The 19,834-nt window shown below is 40.7% G+C and overlaps 1 annotated feature.

The window, feature by feature from the left end:
• Positions 17,486 to 18,685: an enhancer, noted in NCBI's record as "MED14-independent group 3 enhancer chr4:70522042-70523241 (GRCh37/hg19 assembly coordinates)". NCBI's record gives its function as "activates an origin of replication core promoter dependent on BRD2, BRD4, P300/CBP and CDK7 cofactors, and independent of MED14, by STARR-seq in HCT116 cells {active_cell/tissue: HCT116}" and the evidence as "EXISTENCE:reporter gene assay evidence [ECO:0000049][PMID:35650434]".

Below are 19,834 nucleotides of genomic sequence, written 5' to 3'. Positions count from 1 at the left end.
GTTGGAAGAATGAGCTGAGCACTCAAGTGAGGGGGATGGGAAAACTAAAACTTTATTACTGTGAGCAAATATCACAACAAAAACAGCCTTGTAACAAGAGAAGAAAAAAGTGTAACCAAAGCTCAACAAAATGTAACCAGAAGCTCATCAGACCACAGGAAGAATCATCACCGGAGTCAGAAGGCAGACGCCTAGCATCCTGGAGTAAAAGTTGTAAGCAAATATCACAGCAAAAGCAGCATTAAGTAGGTATAAACGAACCAGCAAAAGAAGACAACATGTAACCATAGCTCACCAGACCACAGGAAGAGTCATCATCAGAGTGGGAAGGCAGACACCTGGGATCCTGCAATTGGCGTTGGTGCTGTTCCCCAGCACACAACAGCCTTCAATCCTCCTTTGTGTAAACTCCCTTTATTAAGTCCAGTTGTTACTTTGGGCACCCTCTTTTGTTTGCTCAGGAGGCCCCTTCCCAAGCAAGCAACACTGAAACAATCATTATGGGAGCAATGTTCTGGGACCCCCTCCCGGACTTTATCATTCTGGGAGCAGTGTCCCGGGACATGTTCCAGGACTTGAAGTAATTTCTGGGCTTTTAGTGAAATCTTACACAAGGTGTTTACCTTTTCACCTTTGGTGCCCCTGCCTCTTATAGATGGAGGCATATTTTAAAATGGTTAGTGTGGCCATTTTTTTCTCTTCCTAACAGGGTGTTTTTCATGAGGGGATGTTGAATTTAGCGAATGCTTTTTCAGCATCAATCGAAATGATCAAATGATTTTTATCCTTCATTCTGTCAATATGATTTATCACATTGTTTGATTTGCATATGTCGAACCATCCTTGCATCTCAGGGGTAAATCCCTCTTCGTTATAATGAATGATATTTCTAATGTGTTGTCGAATTCAGTTTACTGGCATTTTGTTGAGGATTTTTGCATAAATATTAATCAGAGGTATTGGTCTGTAGTTTTCTTTTTTGATATGTTTGTTTCTGGTTTTGTTATCAGAGTTATTCTGGCCTCATAGAATAAGTTTGAAAGTATTCCCTCCCCTAGTTTTCAGAATAAATTGAGTAGGATAGGCATTAGTTCTTCTTTAAATATTTCTTTAAATATCAACAGCAAAGCCATCAGGTCCCGGGCTTTTATTTACTGGGAGAATTTTTCTTACAGCTTCGATGTTATTACTTGTTATTTTTCTGTTCAGGTTTTGCATTTCCTATTGGTTCAGTCCTGGTAGGTTGTATTTCTTCTAGATTTTCCAGTTTATTGGCATATAGTTGCTCATAGCAGCCATTAATGATGCTTTGAATTTCTGCAGTATCATTTGTAATGTCTCTCCTTTCATTTCTGATTTTATTTATTTGGATCTTCTCATTTTTTCTTAGTCTGACTAATGGTTTGTCAATTTTGTTTAACTCTTCAAAAAACCAACTTTTCTTCATTGATCTTTTTATTGTTTATTCATTTCAATTTTATGTATTTCTGCTCTAATCTTTATTATTATATTTTTTCTTCTTCTAATTTTGGGTTTGGTTTGCTTTTGCTTTTCTGGTTCTTTAAGATGTAGCATTAGATTGTTCATTTGACCTTTCTCCTCTTTTATGATGTAGGCACTTATACAAATAAACTTCCCTCAGTATTGTTTTTGCTGTATTTCATAGTTATTGTAATGTATTTTCATTATCATTTGTTTCAGGAATTTTTTCATTTCTCTTCATTTATTCACTGATCCCTGGTCATTCAGGAGCACACTGATTAATTTTGATGTGTTTGTATAGTTTCCAAAACTCTTTTTGCTATTAATTTCTAGTTTCATTCCATTGTGGTCAGAGAAGATGCTTGATATTATTTCAATCTTTTGGCTGTTTTAATACTTGTTTTGTGACCTAACATATGGTCTATCCTTGAAAATGATTCATGTGCGGAGGAAAAGAAAGTGTATTCTGCAGCTCTTGGTTAAAATATTCTGTAAAGTTCTATTAGATTTGTTTGATCTATAGTACAGATTATTTGATCTGTACTTTAGATACATATATAGTACCAGATTATTTGATCTGTACTATAGATCAAACAGGTCTAATAGATCTTTACAGAATATTTCATTTTTTTTATTTTCTCTCTGGAAGATCTGTCCAATGCTGAAAGTGGGGTGTTGAAGTCTCCAGCTATTTCTGTATTGGGGTCTATCTCTCTCTTTAGCTCTAATAATATTTCTTTTGTATATCTGTGTGCTCCAGTGTTGAGTGCATATATATTTAAAATTGTTATATTATCTTGCTGAATTGACCCTTTAATCATTATATAGTGACCTTGTATGTCTATTTTTATAGTTTTTGTCTTGAAATCTATTTTGTCTGATATAAGGTTAGTGACTTCTGCTCTATTTTTGTTTCCATTAGCATGTAATATCTTTTTCTATCCCTTTATTTTCAGACTATGTATGTCTTTATAGGTGAATTGTGTTTCTTATAGGCAACATATAAATGGACCTTGTTTTTTCATCCATTCAACAAGTCTATGATTTTGCCAACTACATCTTTTGATTGAAGAGTTTCATTCATTTATGTTCAATATGATTCTTAATTGATAAGTATGTGCTTATTCCTGCCATTTTGTTATTCATTTTCTGATTGTTTTATGGCCTTCTCTTCCTTCCTTCTTTTCTTCCTGTCTTCCTCTCATGAAGGTTATGTTCTCTGATAAGATTTCGTATCTTGCTTTTTAATTTTTGTGTATTTATTGTATTTTCTTTAGTTTAATTTTACCATGAGGCTTGCAAATACTCTTATAACCCATTATTTTAACCTGATAACCACTTAACACTATCTGCTTTAACAAACAAACAAGCAAGCAAAAATAAAACAAATAAAAACTCTATGCTTTAAATTTGTCTTCTCACTTTTATACTTTTTGTTGTTTCTATTTATATTTTATTGTACTGAGTATGTCTTGAAATGTTTTTGTGGTTATTATTTTTTGTTCGTTTATTTTTTAGTCTTTCTATTTAGTATAAGAGTAGTTTATACACCACAGTTACAGTGTTATAATATTCTGTATTTTTCAATGTACTTACTATTACACGTGATTTTTATACCTTCAGATGATTATTTATTGTTCATTATTGTCATTTTCTTTCTGATTGAATAACTGTCTTTAGCATTTCTTTTAGGACAGGTCTGGTGTTGAAATCCCTCAGCTTTTGTTTTTCTGGGAAAGTCTTTATTTCTCTTTCATGTTTGAAAGGTATTTTCGCTGAATATACTATTTGAGGGTAAAGGTTATTTATTTATTTATTCGTATTTTATTTGTTTTTTCCTTCAGCCTTTTAAATATGGCATGCTACTCTCTCCTGGCCTATAAGGTTTACACTGAATACTCTGATGTCAGGCATATTGGAGCCATATTGTGTGTTGTTTGTTTATTTTCTCTTGCTGATTTTAGGATCCTTATTTTTTTTTTTAATCCTTGACCTTTGGAAGTTTCATTATTAAATACCTTGAGGTGGTCTTATTTGGGTTAAATCTGCTTGGTGTTCAAAACCATCTCATATTTGGATAGGATTTCTTTGTTTAGCTTTGGGTATTCTCTGTTATTATCCCTTTGAATAAACTTTCTACACCTTTCTCTTTCTCTACCTCCACTTTAATGCTGATAACTCTTAGATTTGCCCATTTTGGACTATTGTTTAGATTCTGTAGGCATGCTTCATTGTGTTTTTTTTTCTTTTATATCTTCTGACTGCATATGTTCAAGTAGCCTCTTTTCAAGCTGACTAATTCTTTCTTTTGTTTGATCAATTATGCTATTAAGGGACTCTGATGCCTTCATTATGGAAATTGCATTTTTTCAACTCTAGTATTTCTTGAGAATTCTTTTTAATTACTTCAATCTCTTTGTTACATTTCTCTGGTAAAATTCTTAATTATTTCTCCGTTATCTTGAATTTCTTTGATTTTCTTCAACACAGCTATTTTGAATTCTCTGTCTGAAAGTTCACAAATCTCTGTTTCTCCAAAAACAGAGATACCTGGAGCCTTATTTAGACAAGTCCCTGGTGCCTTATTTAGTTCATTTCAGGAAGCCATGTTTCCCTAGATGGTGTTGATGCTAATAGAGGTTCTTTGGTATTGAGGAGTTAACTATTTATTGTAGTCCTCACTATCTGGAGTTATTAGTAGCTGTACTTTTTTTGAAGGTTTTCCAGATACGTAAAGGAACTTGGGTGTTGTGATCTCAGCTGTATCTTCTTCAGGGAGCACCATAAGCCCAGTAATACTGTAGTTCTTGCAGGCTCATGGAGGTATTGCCTTAATGGTCTTGAACAAGATTTGGATGAATTCTCTGGTTTACCAAGAAGAGAATCTTATTCCCTTCCCTTTTTTTTCTCTCAAACAGAGTCTCTCTCTCTCTGGTCTGAGCCACCTAAATCTGGGAGTAGAGTGACACAAGAACTGTGTGGCCACCACCACTGTGACTGTGCTGGGTCACACATGAAGCCAACACAGCTCTGGGTCTCACCCAAGCCCTGCTGAAACAACTCCCTGGCTACTGTATATTTGCTCAAGGCACTGGGTGCTACAACCAGCAGGTGAAAAAGCCAGCCAGGTCTGTATTTTTCCCTTCAGGATGGCAAGGTCCTTCAGGCACTGGATGGGTCCAGAAGTGCTTTCCAGGATTCAGAGATTAGAGCAAAAAATCTTAGAAATCTATACGATATTCTATTGTATTGAGACTGAGCTGACACTCAAACCACAAGACTCAGTTCCTGCCACTCTTACTTCAACTTTCAAAGGCAAAGGAGCCTTACCCCATAGCCACCTCCACCCCAGCCCACATGGAGTACTGCCACACTGCCACTGATGTTCTCTTAAGGCCCAAGTTCTCTCTGTCTCTATTTCTGTCTCTCTCTCTCTCTTTCTTTCTTTCTTTTTTTTTTTTTTTGACAAAGCCTCGCTGTGTCATCAAGGCTGGAGTACAGTGGCACAGTCTTGGCTCACTGCAACCTCTGCCTCCCAGGATCAAGCAATCCTCCCATCTCAGCCTCCCAAGTAGCTGAAACTACAAGCACATTCCACCACACCAGGCTAATTTTTTGTATTTTTAGTAGAGATGGGTTTTTTTTCCATGTTGCCCAGGCTTGTCTGGAACTCCTGGGCTCAAGTAATCTGCCCACCTCGGTCTCTTACAGTGCTAAAATTATAGCATGAGCCACGGTGCCCAGCCAGCCCAAGGTCTCATAAGTTGGCTTGTGGTGAATGCTACTTTCTCTGGAACTCACCTGTTAGGGAAGTGAGTTCCTCTCTGGCCTAGGGTAGATCCAGAAATTCCGTCCAAGAGTCAAGTCCTTGAACCAGGGACCTTAAGAGCCCAACTGGTGCTCTATACCCTTGTGGTCATGCTGGTACCTAAAGTGTAAGACAAAGTCTCCTTTAAATTTTCCTCTGCTTTTCTCAAAGAGAAGAAGTTTTGAACCACATCCAACAGAGCTGATAATGTTCTGTGTCTCACCTGAAGCTAGCATGTCTCACACATGGCTCTGTATGTAGAACCTGAGTATCACTGCTTGTTATTCAGGGCCCAAGGGCTCTTCAGTTAGCAGGTGATGTTTTCAGGACTGGGTCCTTCCCTTCAAGGCAACAGGTTCCTTTCTGGCCCTGGGTGTGTCTAAAAATGTCATCTGGTAGCTAGAGCCTGGATTAGGGACTTTAAGACTTTGACTAGTGCCCTATCCTACTATGTCTGAGATGGTATCCTAGATTCAAGGTAAAGTGGTCCCCACTCTTCCTTCTCCTCTCAAATGCAAGGAAGGGGTCTCTTTAGGAGCCATAAGCTGTACAGCCTGGGTTTAGAAAAGAGGTGATGCCAGCACTCCCTTGGCTGTCCTAACTTATCTCAATATGTCACACGAGCCCCAGTCCATGGTCTCTGGGCCTGGTACAGCAGTAGGACTCACATAAGTGTTGCAATCCTTATGGCCTAGACTGCCTTTCAAGATTACTTGGAGATACAGAGCACTGTAGTCCTCTGTGGTGAGGTTTGCAGGCACTCAAGTTCTGACCACTGGACTTGGTGGTTCCCCTCTGACCAGGGCTGGTTTAAATGCTCCCTCTGTGAGTGGGTGTTAGCTGAGTTTGGTCTGGGTTTACTTTCTATTCTGAGTTCAATGCCTCACTCTTGCTGTGTTCTCCTCCTCCAGTGCCCAGAAGTGCTCTCCACACCACACTGCTGCTGTGGAGTGAGGAGGGGTAGAATCTGCAATTCATGACTTTTTTTTTTTTAATCTCTTCAATGCCTCTTTCAAAGTTAAAGGCAGGTACTATGTAACTATGATACAAAGTTAAAAGCAGGTACTATGAGTGGTCAACTGATTTTTTTTATAAAGATTTTTTTTCTGCGTAGATATTTGTTAACTTGGTGTCCTTGTGATGTGTGTGTGGAGGAAGATCGATGGAGCTTTCTATTCCACCATCTTGTTCCATCTCTTGTAAAATACACTTAAATGAATACAAAATTTAATGTCTTAAAAAAATGGAGAACCCAATACCAAGGTTTTTTTTTTTTTTTTGGTGTTGTTCGTATTGCATGGTTTGATATCTGCATGGTTGTTTCTAGAGGACATAAGGATAGCAAAGATTAATTTACCAGTTATAAAATCAGCTAGAATTTCCTAAGAAAAAAAGGAAAACATTTACTTGTTATTTTTCCATATGAGAAGGCAGGTTAGCTGTCAAAAGACCATTGTTCTGAACTTCAGCTTTCCTCTTATTTAATATTCTATAGAATTTGACAAAGTTCTAAAACCTCATATATTGGGTAAGTAGAATATAAAAATGCTACCTGATAAACATAGGGATTTTTTCCAGCTGTGCTAAAATAAGTAAAGATATAAATGTCACCCTTAGTTTTTATTTTTTCTTTACCATATTGCATTATCACATATCTCCAAATATTAGGCAGTATTGACAGATTATATTATAAGCAATACTCTTTGAGTGCTCAAAGTACAGAGACTGAAAATGGAAGAGAAAATTAGAAGTTAAAGAAGATTGGAAGAATATCACTAATTTAATTTAATAAAAAGTGACTATTTTGTGTATTTCTAAAGTGTTTAAAATTGTTCCTCATATAGATTTTGTATATGCTTTGTTAAATTTATGCTTAGTTATTTTATCTTTTTAATTAGATTATGAACAACTTATCTTTCTTATTGTATAAAATTCTACACATATCTCAATTTAAACTTTATATCTTATTATTTTGCTCTATATACTCTCTTGAACTTTATAATAGTTTTCCAAATATTCCTCCATATGAACTGCAACTAAAGATAAATTACCTCTCCCTCTCCATTTTTGACATAACTGATTGTCTTCTTTTGCCTAACTTTTCTCATCTATACCTCTAAGCACATGTTTAATTGTAGTAAAGATAATGGCCTTTGTGTCTTAATTTGAATTTAGTGTCAGGATTATGCTGGCCTCATAAAATGAGTTAGGGAGGATTCCCTCTTTTTCTATTGATTGGAATAGTTTCAGAAGGAATGGTACCAGTTCCTCCTTGTACCTCTGATAGAATTCAGCTGTGAATCCATCTGGTCCTGGACTCTTTTTGGTTGGTAAACTATTGATTATTGCCACAATTTCAGCTCCTGTTATTGGTCTATTCAGAGATTCAACTTCTTCCTGGTTTAGTCTTGGGAGAGTGTATGTGTCGAGGAATTTATCCATTTCTTCTAGATTTTCTAGTTTATTTGCGTAGAGGTGTTTGTAGTATTCTCTGATGGTAGTTTGTATTTCTGTGGGATTGGTGGTGATATCCCCTTTATCATTTTTTATTGTGTCTATTTGATTCTTCTCTCTTTTTTTCTTTATTAGTCTTGCTAGCGGTCTATCAATTTTGTTGATCCTTTCAAAAAACCAGCTCCTGGATTCATTAATTTTTTGAAGGGTTTTTTGTGTCTCTATTTCCTTCAGTTCTGTTCTGATTTTAGTTATTTCTTGCCTTCTGCTAGCTTTTGAATGTGTTTGCTCTTGCTTTTCTAGTTCTTTTAATTGTGATGTTAGGGTGTCAATTTTGGATCTTTCCTGCTTTCTCTTGTGGGCATTTAGTGCTATAAATTTCCCTCTACAAACTGCTTTGAATACGTCCCAGAGATTTTGGTATGTTGTGTCTTTGTTCTCGCTGGTTTCAAAGAACATCTTTATTTCTGCCTTCATTTCGTTATGTATCCAGTAGTCATTCAGGAGCAGGTTGTTCAGTTTCCATGTAGTTGAGCAGTTTTGAGTGAGATTCTTAATCCTGAGTTCTAGTTTGATTGCACTGTGGTCTGAGAGACAGTTTGTTATAATCTCTGTTCTTTTACATTTGCTGAGGAGAGCTTTACTTCCAACTATGTGGTCAATTTTGGAATAGGTGTGGTGTGGTGCTGAAAAAAATGTATATTCTGTTGATTTGAGGTGGAGAGTTCTGTAGATGTCTATTAGGTCCTCTTGGTGCAGAGCTGAGTTCAATTCCTGGGTATCCTTGTTGAGTTTCTGTCTGGTTGATCTGACTAATGTTGACAGTGGGGTGTTAAAGTCTCCCATTATTAATGTGTGGGAGTCTAAGTCTCTTTGTAGGTCACTCAGGACTTGCTTTATGAATCCGGGTGCTCCTGTATTGGGTGCATATATATTTAGGATAGTTAGCTCTTCTTGTTGAATTGATCCCTTTACCATTATGTAATGGCCTTCTTTGTCTCTTTTGATCTTTGTTGGTTTAAAGTCTGTTTTATCAGAGACTAGGATTGCAACCTCTGCCTTTTTTTGTTTTCCATTTGCTTGGTAGATCTTCCTCCATCGTTTTATTCTGAGCCTATGTGTGTCTCTGCACGTGAGATGGGTTTCCTGAATACAGCGCACTGATGGGTCTTGACTCTTTATCCAATTTGCCAGTCTGTGTCTTTTAATTGGAGCATTTAGTCCATTTACATTTAAAGCTAATATTGTTATGTGTGAATTTGATCCTGTCATTATGATGTTAGCTGGTGATTTTGCTCATTAGTTGATGCAGTTTCTTCCTAGTCTCGATGGTCTTTACATTTTGGCATGCTTTTGCAGCGGCTGGTACTGGTTGTTCCTTTCCATGTTTAGCGCTTCCTTCAGGAGCTCTTTTAGGGCAGGCCTGGTGGTGACAAAATCTCTCAGCATTTGCTTGTCTGTAAAGTATTTTATTTCTCCTTCACTTATGAAGCTTAGTTTGGCTGGATATGAAATTCTGGGTTGAAAATTCTTTTCTTTAAGAATGTTGAAAATTGGCCCCACTCTCTTCTGGCTTGTAGAGTTTCTGCCGAGAGATCCGCTGTTAGTCTGATGGGCTTCCCTTTGAGGGTAACCCGACCTTTCTCTCTGGCTGCCGTTAACATTTCTTCCTTCGTTTCAACTTTGGTGAATCTGACAATTATGTGTCTTGGAGTTGCTCTTCTTGAGGAGTATCTTTGTGGCGTTCTCTGTATTTCCTGAATCTGAACGTTGGCCTGCCTTGCTAGATTGTGGAAGTTCTCCTGGATAATACCCTGCAGAGTGTTTTCCAACTTGGTTCCATTCTCCCCATCACTTTCAGGTACACCAATCAGACGTAGATTTGGTCTTTTCACATAGTCCCATATTTCTTGGAGGCTTTGTTCATTTCTTTTTATTCTTTTTTCTCTAAACTTCCCTTCTCGCTTCATTTCATTCATTTCATCTTCCATTGCTGATACCCTTTCTTCCAGTTGATCGCATCAGCTCCTGAGGCTTCTGCATTCTTCACGTAGTTCTCGAGCCTTGGTTTTCAGCTCTATCAGCTCCTTTAAGCACTTCTCTATATTGGTTATTCTAGTTATACATTCTTCTAAATTTTTTTCAAAGTTTTCAACTTATTTGCCTTTGGTTTGAATGTCCTCCCGTAGCTCAGAGTAATTTGATCGTCTGAAGCCTTCTTCTCTCAGCTCGTCAAAGTCATTCTCCATCCAGCTCTGTTCCGTTGCTGGTGAGGAACTGTGTTCCTTTGGAGGAGGAGAGGCGCTCTGCGTTTTAGAGTTTTCAGTTTTTCTGTTCTGTTTTTCCCCATCTTTGTGGTTTTATCTACTTTTGGTCTTTGATGATGGTAATGTACAGATGAGTTTTTGGTGTGGATGTCCTTTCTGTTTGTTAGTTTTCCTTCTAACAGACAGGACCCTCAGCTGCAGGTCTGTTGGAATACCCTGCCGTGTGAGGTGTCAGTGTGCCCCTGCTGGGGGGTGTCTCCCAGTTAGGCTGCTCGGGGGTCAGGGGTCAGGGACCCACTTGAGGAGGCAGTCTGCCCATTCTCAGATCTCCAGCTGCGTGCTGGGAGAACCACTGCTCTCTTCAAAGCTGTCAGACAGGGACATTTAAGTCTGCAGAGGTTACTGCTGTCTTTTTGTTTGTCTGTGCCCTGCCCCCAGAGGTGGAGCCTACAGAAGCAGGCAGGCCTCCTTGAGCTGTGGTGGGCTCCACCCAGTTCGAGCTTCCCAGCTGCTTTGTTTACCTAAGCAAGCCTGGTCAATGGTGGGCGCCCCTCCCCCAGCCTCGCTGCCGCCTTGCAGTTTGATCTCAGACTGCTGTGCTAGCAATCAGCGAGACTCCGTGGGCGTAGGACCCTTCAAGCCAGGTGCGGGATATAATCTCGTGGTGCACCGTTTTTTAAGCTGGTCAGAAAAGCGCAATATTCGGGTGGGAGTGACCCGATTTTCCAGGTGTGTCCGTCACCCCTTTCTTTGACTCGGAAAGGGAACTCCCTGACCCCTTGCACTTCCCGAGTGAGGCAATGCCTTGCCCTGCTTCAGCTCGCGCATGGTGCGCGCACCCACTGACCTGAGCCCACTGTCTGGCACTCCCTAGTGAGATGAACCCGGTACTTCAGATGGAAATGCAGAAATCACCCGTCTTCTGTGTCGCTCACGCTTGGAGCTATAGACCGGAGCTGTTCCTATTCGGCCATCTTGGCTCCTCCCCTCTCATTGATTTTTTGAAGGGGTTTTTGTGTCTCTATCTCCTTCAGTTCTGCTCTGATGTTAGTTATTTCTTGCCTTCTGCTAGCTTTTGAATGTGTTTGCTCTTGTTTCTCTAGTTCTTTTAATTGTGATGTTAGGGTGTCAATTTTAGATCTTTCCTGCTTTCTCTTGTGGGCATTTAGTGCTATAAATTTCTCTCTACACACTGCATTAAATGTGTCCCAGAGATTCTGGTATGTTGTGTCTTTGTTCTCGTTGGTTACAAAGAACATCTTTATTTCTGCCTTCATTTCTTTATGTACCCAGTAGTCATTCAGGAGCAGGTTGTTCAGTTTCCATGTAGTTGTGCAGTTTTTGGTGCATTTCTTAATCCTGTGTTCTAGTTTGATTGCACTGTGGTCTGAGAGACAGTTTATTATAATTTCTGTTCTTTTACATTTGCTGAGGAGTGTTTTACTTCCAACTATGTGGTCAATGTTGGAATAGGTGTGGTGTGGTGCTGAGAAGAATGTATATTCTGTTGATTTGAGGTGGAGAATTCTGTAGATGTGTATTAGGTCCACTTGGTGCAGAGCTGAGTTCAATTCCTGGATATCCTTGTTAACTTTCTGTCTCGTTGATCAGTCTAATGTTGACAGTGGGGTGTTAAACTCTCCCATTATTATTGTGTGGGAGTCTAAGTCTCTTTGTAGGTCTCTAAGGACTTGCTTTATGAATCTGGGTGCTGCTGTATTGAGTGCATACATATTTAGGATAGTTAGCTCTTCTTGTTGAATTGATCCCTTTACTATTATGTAATGGCCTTCTTTGTCTCTTTTGATCTTTGTTGGTTTAAAGTCTGTTTTATCAGAGACTAGGATTGCAACCCCTGCCTTTTTTTGTTTTCCATTTGCTTGGTAGATCTTCCTTCATCCCTTTATTTTGAGCCTATATGTGTCTCTGCACGTGAGATGGGTCTACTGAATACAGCACAGTGATGGGTCTTGACTCTTTATCCAATTTTCCAGTCTGTGTCTTTTAATTGGAGCATTTAGCCCATTTACATTTAAGGTTAATATTATGATGTGTGAATTTGACCCTGTCATTTTGATGTTAGCTTGTTATTTTGCTCATTAGTTGATGCAGTTTCTTCCTAGCATTGATGGTCTTTACAATTTGGCATGTTTTTGCAGTGGCTGGTACTGGTTGTTCCTTTCCATGTTTAGCGCTTCCTTCAGGAGTTCTTTTAGGGCAGGCCTGGTGGTGACAAGGTCTCTCAGCATTTGTTTGTCTGTAAAGGATTTTATTTCTCCTTCACTTATGAAGCTTAGTTTAGCTGGATATGAAATTCTGGGTTGAAAATTATTTTCTTTAAGAATGCTGAATATTTGCCCCCACTATCTTCTGGCTTGTAGAGTTTCTGCCGAGACATCCACTGTTAGTCTGATGGGCTTCCCTTTGTGGGTAACCCGACCTTTCTCTCTGGCTGACCTTAACATTTTTTCCCTCATTCCAACTTTGGTGAACCTGAAAATTATGTGTCTTGGAGTTTCTCTTCTTGAGGAGTATCCTTGTGGCATTCTCTGTATTTCCTGAATTTGAATGTTGGCTTGCCTCGCTACATTGGGGAAGTTCTCCTGGATAATATCCTGCAGAGTGTTTTCCAACTTGGTTCCATTTTCCCCATCACTTTCAGGTACACCAATCAGATGTAGATTTGGTCTTTTCACATAGTTCCATATTTCTTGGAGGCTTTGTTCATTTCTTTTTACTCTTTTTTCTCTAAACTTCTCTTCTCACTTCATTTCATTCATTTGATCTTCAATCACTGATACCCTTTCTTCCACTTGATCGATTCGGCTACTGAAGCTTGTGCATGCATCACCTAGCTCTCATGCCATGGTTTTCAGCTCCATCAGGTCATTTAAGGACTTCTCTACACTGGTTATCCTAGTTAGCCATTCGTCTAATCTTTTTTCAAGGTTTTTATCTTCTTTGTGATGGGTTTGAACATCCTCCTTTAGCTCAGAGAATTTTGTTATTACCGATTGTCTGAAGCCTTCTTCTCTCAACTCATCAAAGTCATTCTCCGTCCAGCTTTGTTCTGTTGCTGGCAAGGAACTGTGTTCCTTTGGAGGAGAAGAGGCGCTCTGATTTTTAGAATTCTCACCTTTTCTGCTCTGGTTTCTCCCCATCTTTGTGGTTTTATCTACCTTTGGTCTTTGATGATGGTGACATACAGATGGGGTTTTGGTGTGGATGTCCTTTCTGTTTGTTAATTTTCCTTCTAACAGTCAGGACCCTCGGCTCCAGTCTGCAGCTCCCAGTGTGAGCAATGCAGAAGATGGGTGATTCCTGCATTTCCAACTGAGGTACTGGGTTGATCTCACTGGTGCTTGTCAGACAGTGAGTGCAGCCCACGGAGCAGGGCAGGGCATCACCTCACCCAGAAAGTGCAAGGGGTTGGGGAATTCCCTTTGCTAACAAAGGGAAGCTGAGACAGACGGTACCTGGAAAATTGGGACACTCCCACCCTAATACTGCTCTTTTCCAACAGCCTTAGCAAATGGCACACCAGCAGATTATATCCTGCACCTGGCTTGGAGGGTCCCCTGCCCACAGATCCTTGCTCACTGCTAGCACAGCAGTCTGACATCAAAGTGCAAGGCAGCAGTGAGGCTGGGAGAGGGGTGTCTGCCATTGCTGAGGCTTGAGTAGGTAAACAAAGCTTCCAGGAAGCTCGAACTGGGTGGAGCCCACAGCAGCTCAAGGAGGCCTGCCTGCCTCTGTAGACTCCACCTCTGGGGGCAGGGCATAGCTGAACAAAAGACAGCAGAAACTTCTGCAGACTTAAACATCCCTGTCTGACAGCTTTGAAGAGAATAGTGGTTCTCCCAGCATGGAGTTAGAGATCTGAGAACGGACAGACTGCCTTCTCAAGTGGGTCCCTGACCCCCAAGTAGCCTAACTGGGAGACACCTCTAAGTAGGGGCTGACTGAGACAGCCAGGTGCCCCTCTGAGACAAAGCTTCCAGAGGAAGGATCAGGCAGCAACATCTGCCATTCTGCAGTATTTGTTGTTCTGTAGCCTCCACTTGTGATATCCAGGCAAACAGGATCTGGAGTGGACCTCCAGCAAACTCCAATTTCAATTTTCTTAAATGTATTGAGGCTTATTTTATGGCCTATCACATGGTTTAACTTGAAGAAAATTCCATGCACTGTTGAATAAAATGTGCATTCTGCAGTTGTTGGATGAAATGTTCTATCTATCTATCTATCTATCTATCTATCTATCTATCTATCTATCTATTAAGTCCATTTGTTCCAAGGTGTAGTTTAAATCCATGGCTTCCTTGGTGACTATCTGTCTTGATGATCTGTCTAGTGCTGTCAGTGGAGTATTGAAGTCCCCCACTATGATTGTGTTGCTCTCTATCTCATTGCTTAGGTCTATTAATAATTGTTTTATAAATTTAGGAGCTCCAGTGTTAAGTGCATATATGTTTAAAATTGTGATATTTTCCTGCTGGTCAAGGCCTTTTGCCATTATATAATGATCCTCTTTGTCCCTTTTAACTTCTCATACTTTAAAGTTTGTTTTGTCTGATATAAGAATAGCTACCCCTGCTTGCTTTTGGTGTCCATTTGCATGAAATGTCTTTTTCTACCACTTTACTTGAAGTTTATATGAGTCCTTATGTGTTAGGTGAGTCTCTTGAAGGCAGGAGATGGTTGGTGAGTTCTTATCCATTCTGAGGTTCTGTATCTTTTAATTGGAGCATTTAGGCCAATTACAGTCAATGTTAGTTTTGAAATGTGAGGTACCATTGCATTCATCATGCTCTTTGTTGCCTGTGTACTTTGGTTATTTTTGTTTTTTTTGTTTTTGCTTTTAAACTTGTATTTTTGTTTTATAGGTTCTGTCTGACTTATGCTTTAAAGATGTTCTGTTTGATGTGATTCCAGGATTTGTTTCAAGATTTACAGCTCCTTTTAGCAGTTCTTACAGTGGCTTGGTAATGGCAAATTCTCAGCATTTGTTTGTCTGAAAATGGCTGAATTTTTCCTTCATATATGATGCTTAGTTTTGCTGGCTACAAAATTGTTGGCTGGTACTTGTTTTGTTTGAGGAAGCTGAAGATAGGGCCCCATCCATTCTAGCTTGTAGGGTTTCTGCTGAAAAATCTGCTGTTAACCTGATAGGTTTTACTTTATAGGTTACCTGGTTTTTCTGTCTCACAGCTCTTAAGATTCTTTCCTTCATCTTAACTTTGGATAACCTGATGACAATGTGTGTAGGTGAAAATCTTTTTGCACTGAATTTCCTGGGTGTTCTTTATGCTTCTTGTATTTGCATGTCTAGGTCTCTAGCAAGGCCAGGGAAGTCTTCCTCAATTATTCCCCCAAACATGTTTTCCAAGCTTTTAGAATTGTCTTCCTCCTCAGGAACACTGATTATTCTTAAGTTTGGTTGTTTAACATAATCCCAGACTTCTTGGAGACTTTGTTCATATTTTCTTATTCTTTTTTTCTTTGTCTTTGTTGGATTGGGTTACTTCAAATACCTTGTCTTTGAGCTCTGAATTTCTTTCTTCTACTTGTTCAGTTCTATTGCTGAGACTCTCCAGAGGATTTCACATTTCTTAAAGTCTGCCAAAAGTTTCCTGAATTTTTGATTGTTTTTTCTTTAAGCTGTCTATTTCCTTGAATATTTCTCCTTCAATTCTTGTATCATATTTTTGGATTTCCTTGCATTGGGCTTCACCTTTCTCTGGTGCCTCCTTGATTAGTTTAATAATTAACCTCCTGAATTCTTTTTCAGGTAAATCAGGAATTTCTTATTGGTTTGGACCCATTGCTGGTGAGCTAGTGTGATTTTTTGGGGGTGTTGAAGAGCCTAGTTTTGTCATATTACCAGGGTTTGTTTTCTGGTTCCTTCTCATTTGTGTAGGCTATGTCAGAGGGAAGGTCTAGGGCCAAAGGTTGCTGTTCAGATTTTTTTGTCCTACAGGGTGTTCTCATGATGTAGTACTCTCCCCCTTTTCCTGTGGATGTGATTTCATGTGAGCCCAACTGCAATGATTGTTAACTCTCTTCTGGGTCTAGCCAGCCAGTGAGTCTACCCAGCTCCGGGCTGGTACTGGGGGTTGTCTGCAGAGTCCTGTGATGTGAACCATCTATGAGTCTCTCAGCTGTGGATACCAGTGCCTGTTCCATTGGAGGTGGCAGAGGTGCATTGGACTCTGTGAGGGTCCTAGCTTTGGTGGTTTAATGATCATTTTTGTGCTGCTTGGCCTGTTGCCAGGAGATGGCACTTTCCAGAAAGCATCAGCTGTAGTAGTGTGAAGAGATACCCACAGTGGATGGGACCCCAGAACTCCCAAGATTAAATGTCCTTTGTCTTCTGCTACCAGAGTGGATAGGGAAGGCCCATCAGGTGGGGGTAGTATAGGTGTGTGCGAGCTCAGCATCTCCTTGGGCGGGTCTTGCTGCAGCTGCTGTTGGAGATGGGAGTGAGACTCCCAGGTCACTGGAGTTGTGTACCTAGCAAGAGGTGACAACGTGCCAGCAGCCCTCACTTGCTCTCGGCACCTCCTCGGCCTTGGCGTCTGCTCTGGCCAAGCTCGAGGAGCCCTTTGGCCCACCACTGTGCTGTGGGGGCCCCCTCTCTGGGGCTGGCTGAGGCCAGAGCTGGCTCCCTCTGCTCACACAGAGGTGTGGAGGGAGAGGAGCAGGCTGGAGCGAGGGCTGCTTGTGGTGCTTGTGGGCCGGCACGGGTTCCCAGTGGGCGTGGACTCCACGGGTGCAGCTGGTCAGAGCCTGCTGGGCTTGATCAGGGAACGAGCTCCCTCTGGGCTGCCAGAGTGCCCGGGCTAGGTGCTGCAAAGTCCCACAGTGAGTGCCATTGAGAGGTGAAGCTGGCTGGGCTTCTGGGTCAGGTGGGGACCTGGAGAACTTTTCTGTCTAGCTAAAGGTTTGTAAATGCACCAATCAGCACTGTGTATCTAGCTAAAGGTTTGTAAATGCACCAATCAGCACTCTGTGTCTAGCTAAAGGTTTGTAAACGCACCAGTCAGCACTCTGTGTCTAGCTAATTTGGTAGGGGACTTGGAGAACTTTTGTGTCTAGCTAAAGGATTGTAAATGCACCAATCAGCGCTCTGTGTCTAGCTAAAGGTTTGTAAATGCACCAATCAGTACTCTGTCAAAATGGACCAATCAGCAGGATGTGGTGTGTGTGTGTGTGTGTGTGTGTGTGTGTATTTGTATTAATATAAACTCTGGATGAATGTTTACCGAAATATTCAGTGATAATTTATACATGGTAGAATTAGAAATAATTTCCAAATTATTTTGCCATCTTTGTGCATTTCTTATTTTAAAATAATAAATGTGATACTTACATAGTCAGAAAAAGAAAAAAAAAAAAGAAATAAAAGCAGGCCATCCGAGCCAGCTGGGGTCCCCTTCCACGCTGTGGAAGCTTTGTTCTTTCACTCTTCACAATAAATCTTGCTGCTGCTCAATCTTTGGGTCTGCGCCGTCTTTAAGAGCTGTAACACTCACTGCAAAGGTCTGTAGCTTCACTCCTGAAGCCAGTGAGACCATGAACCCACCGGAAGGAACTAACAACTCCAAACGCGCTGCCTTGAAGAACAGTAACACTCACCGCGAAGGTCTGCAGTTTCATTCCTGAAGTCAGTGAGACCACGAACCCACCAGAAGGAAGAAACTCCAGACACGTCCGAACATCAGAAGGAACAAACTCCGGACACACCATCTTTAAGAACTGTAACACTCACCGTGAGGGTCCGCGGCTTCATCCTTGAAGACAGCGAGACCAAGAACCCACCAATTCCGGACACACTAGGAGAAGTACGGCTGCCTCTGCTGAGTCATGTAGGTTGTCAGGTAAGTAGGGGAAAGCCAGCAGTCACAGGCCTCACCTAGTTCACATGCTAGCTGAAGGGCCAGTCTCACTCCCACCGTGTCCCCCTCAACAACCTGGAGTCTGTTTCCAGGTGGAGGGTGAGCCCTGCTTGAAAACTTGCCTGAGGCTTTCCACCTCCCGGCTGCCAAAGAAAAGGGCTTTAGTTTTCCCCCCTGCCTGTGAGGTCTGCATGCTGGATTCACACCCTCCTTGAAGTACTGGCCAGGAGGCTTCATGCCCCGTTCAAATTGTTACAGAGTTTAGCTAGAGAATTCCTTCTGCCTGTGGTATTTTACCCCCTACTTCTCTGGCCAACCTCCCAGTGGATCCCTGTGGTGCCAGGCAGGTATGGGCTGCTTGGGGGACCCAGCGAGCTCCCAGGGTCTTTCCGCTACTTCCCCTACCCCTGTATTTCACTTGGCTCAGCTCTCTAACTTGACTCAGCTCCAGGTAAAGTCAGAAACAGCTTCTCCAGTGGGGTGTGTGTTTGGAAGAGAAGGGTCTCCCTTTCCAATTTCTGCAGTTGGGACACCCACAGTATCTGTGGTGTCTCCTTGGTCCTGCAGAAACAGTCTGCTTCCGGCAGAGGATCTGTGGGTCCTCTCAGGATTACCGGTTTGCTCTTGCAGTCGATCTGGAGCTAAAATTCAATGTGCAAGCCTCTGTCTCCTGCTCTGTCTGGAACTGCAATCTAGTCCTGCCTCCTATCTGCCATGATGCCTCAGTCATCACAAATGATATTTTAATAACATTATGACTAAGCATGCATACCCTGTAGTCAGATAGTATACATTTAAGTACTGGTTGTGACATTAAGTCTCTGAGTGTTACTGGGCAAGTTACATAAGCTTTCTATGCCTTGGCATTTTCATCTGAAAATGGGAACAAAATAGTATTACCTACCTCAAAAGGTTGTTGTAAGAATTAAATTAATCTACATAAAATACTTAGAATAGCACATGGCACATTGTAAGAGTACCATAAATGTGAAATTACAAAAAAACTGAAAATGCAATGAGATAAAAATTTATATTGAAGTAATGTGTGTAAAATTAATCACAAGAAGAGAGAATCATTCACAAGAATGTAAAATTTGAGAAGCCATTTGAGAATGTATTGTATGGTGGGCTGTTTGCCATATGGCCCTCAAAATTCTCCCACTATGACCCTAGGCTTGGCCAGGTAACTTGTTTGATCTAATAGAACTCTACAGAAGTAAAATATGACTTCAAGGCATAATCCTTAAGAAACCTTGCAGGTATTATCCTCACTTTTTTGGGACAGTGCCAGGGTGCAGCTAGATGGAGTTTCTTTACATGAGAGTCTAAGAACATTGTTTCAAGAGAGTGACGGCAAGAGTCGATATCCAAAACTTAAGTGAAGCCACCTTAGACAATCTGTCTGAGTGGAGTGTGTTAGGGTTCTCCAGAGAAAGAGAACCAACAGGATGTGTGTGAGAGTGTGTATATATGTATGTGTGTAGAGAGACAGATATGTACATTTATTTTAAGGAAATGCTTCATACAGTCGTGGAAGCTTGGTAAGTCCAAAATATGCAAGGTAGGCCAGCAGGCTTGAGACTCAGGGAAGAGTTGCAATTTGAGTCCAAAAGCAGTCTGCTGGCAGAATTCCTTCTTACTTAGGTCTGATGTCAATTATTGTCTATTAAGGCCTTCAACTAACTGGATGAGGCCCACCCGCATTGTGAAGAATAATCCAGTAAAATATTATCTCATTCCCAAAACACATAGACAGAAATATTTAGAATGACGTTTGACCAAATATCTGGGGACTATCATCCAGCCAAGTCGATACAAAAATTAACCATCACATAGAACCACCAGGATGACTTTTGCTGCATGAGGTATATACAGGGAAATCAGTAGAACTGTCCAACTGAGCCCAGCACAAACTTCTCACCCAA

The sequence above is a fragment of the Homo sapiens genome, chromosome 4, assembly GCF_000001405.40.
Source record: "Homo sapiens chromosome 4, GRCh38.p14 Primary Assembly".
In the NCBI taxonomy this organism is placed as follows: domain Eukaryota; kingdom Metazoa; phylum Chordata; class Mammalia; order Primates; family Hominidae; genus Homo; species Homo sapiens.
This window is presented reverse-complemented; position numbering and strand designations above follow the sequence as displayed.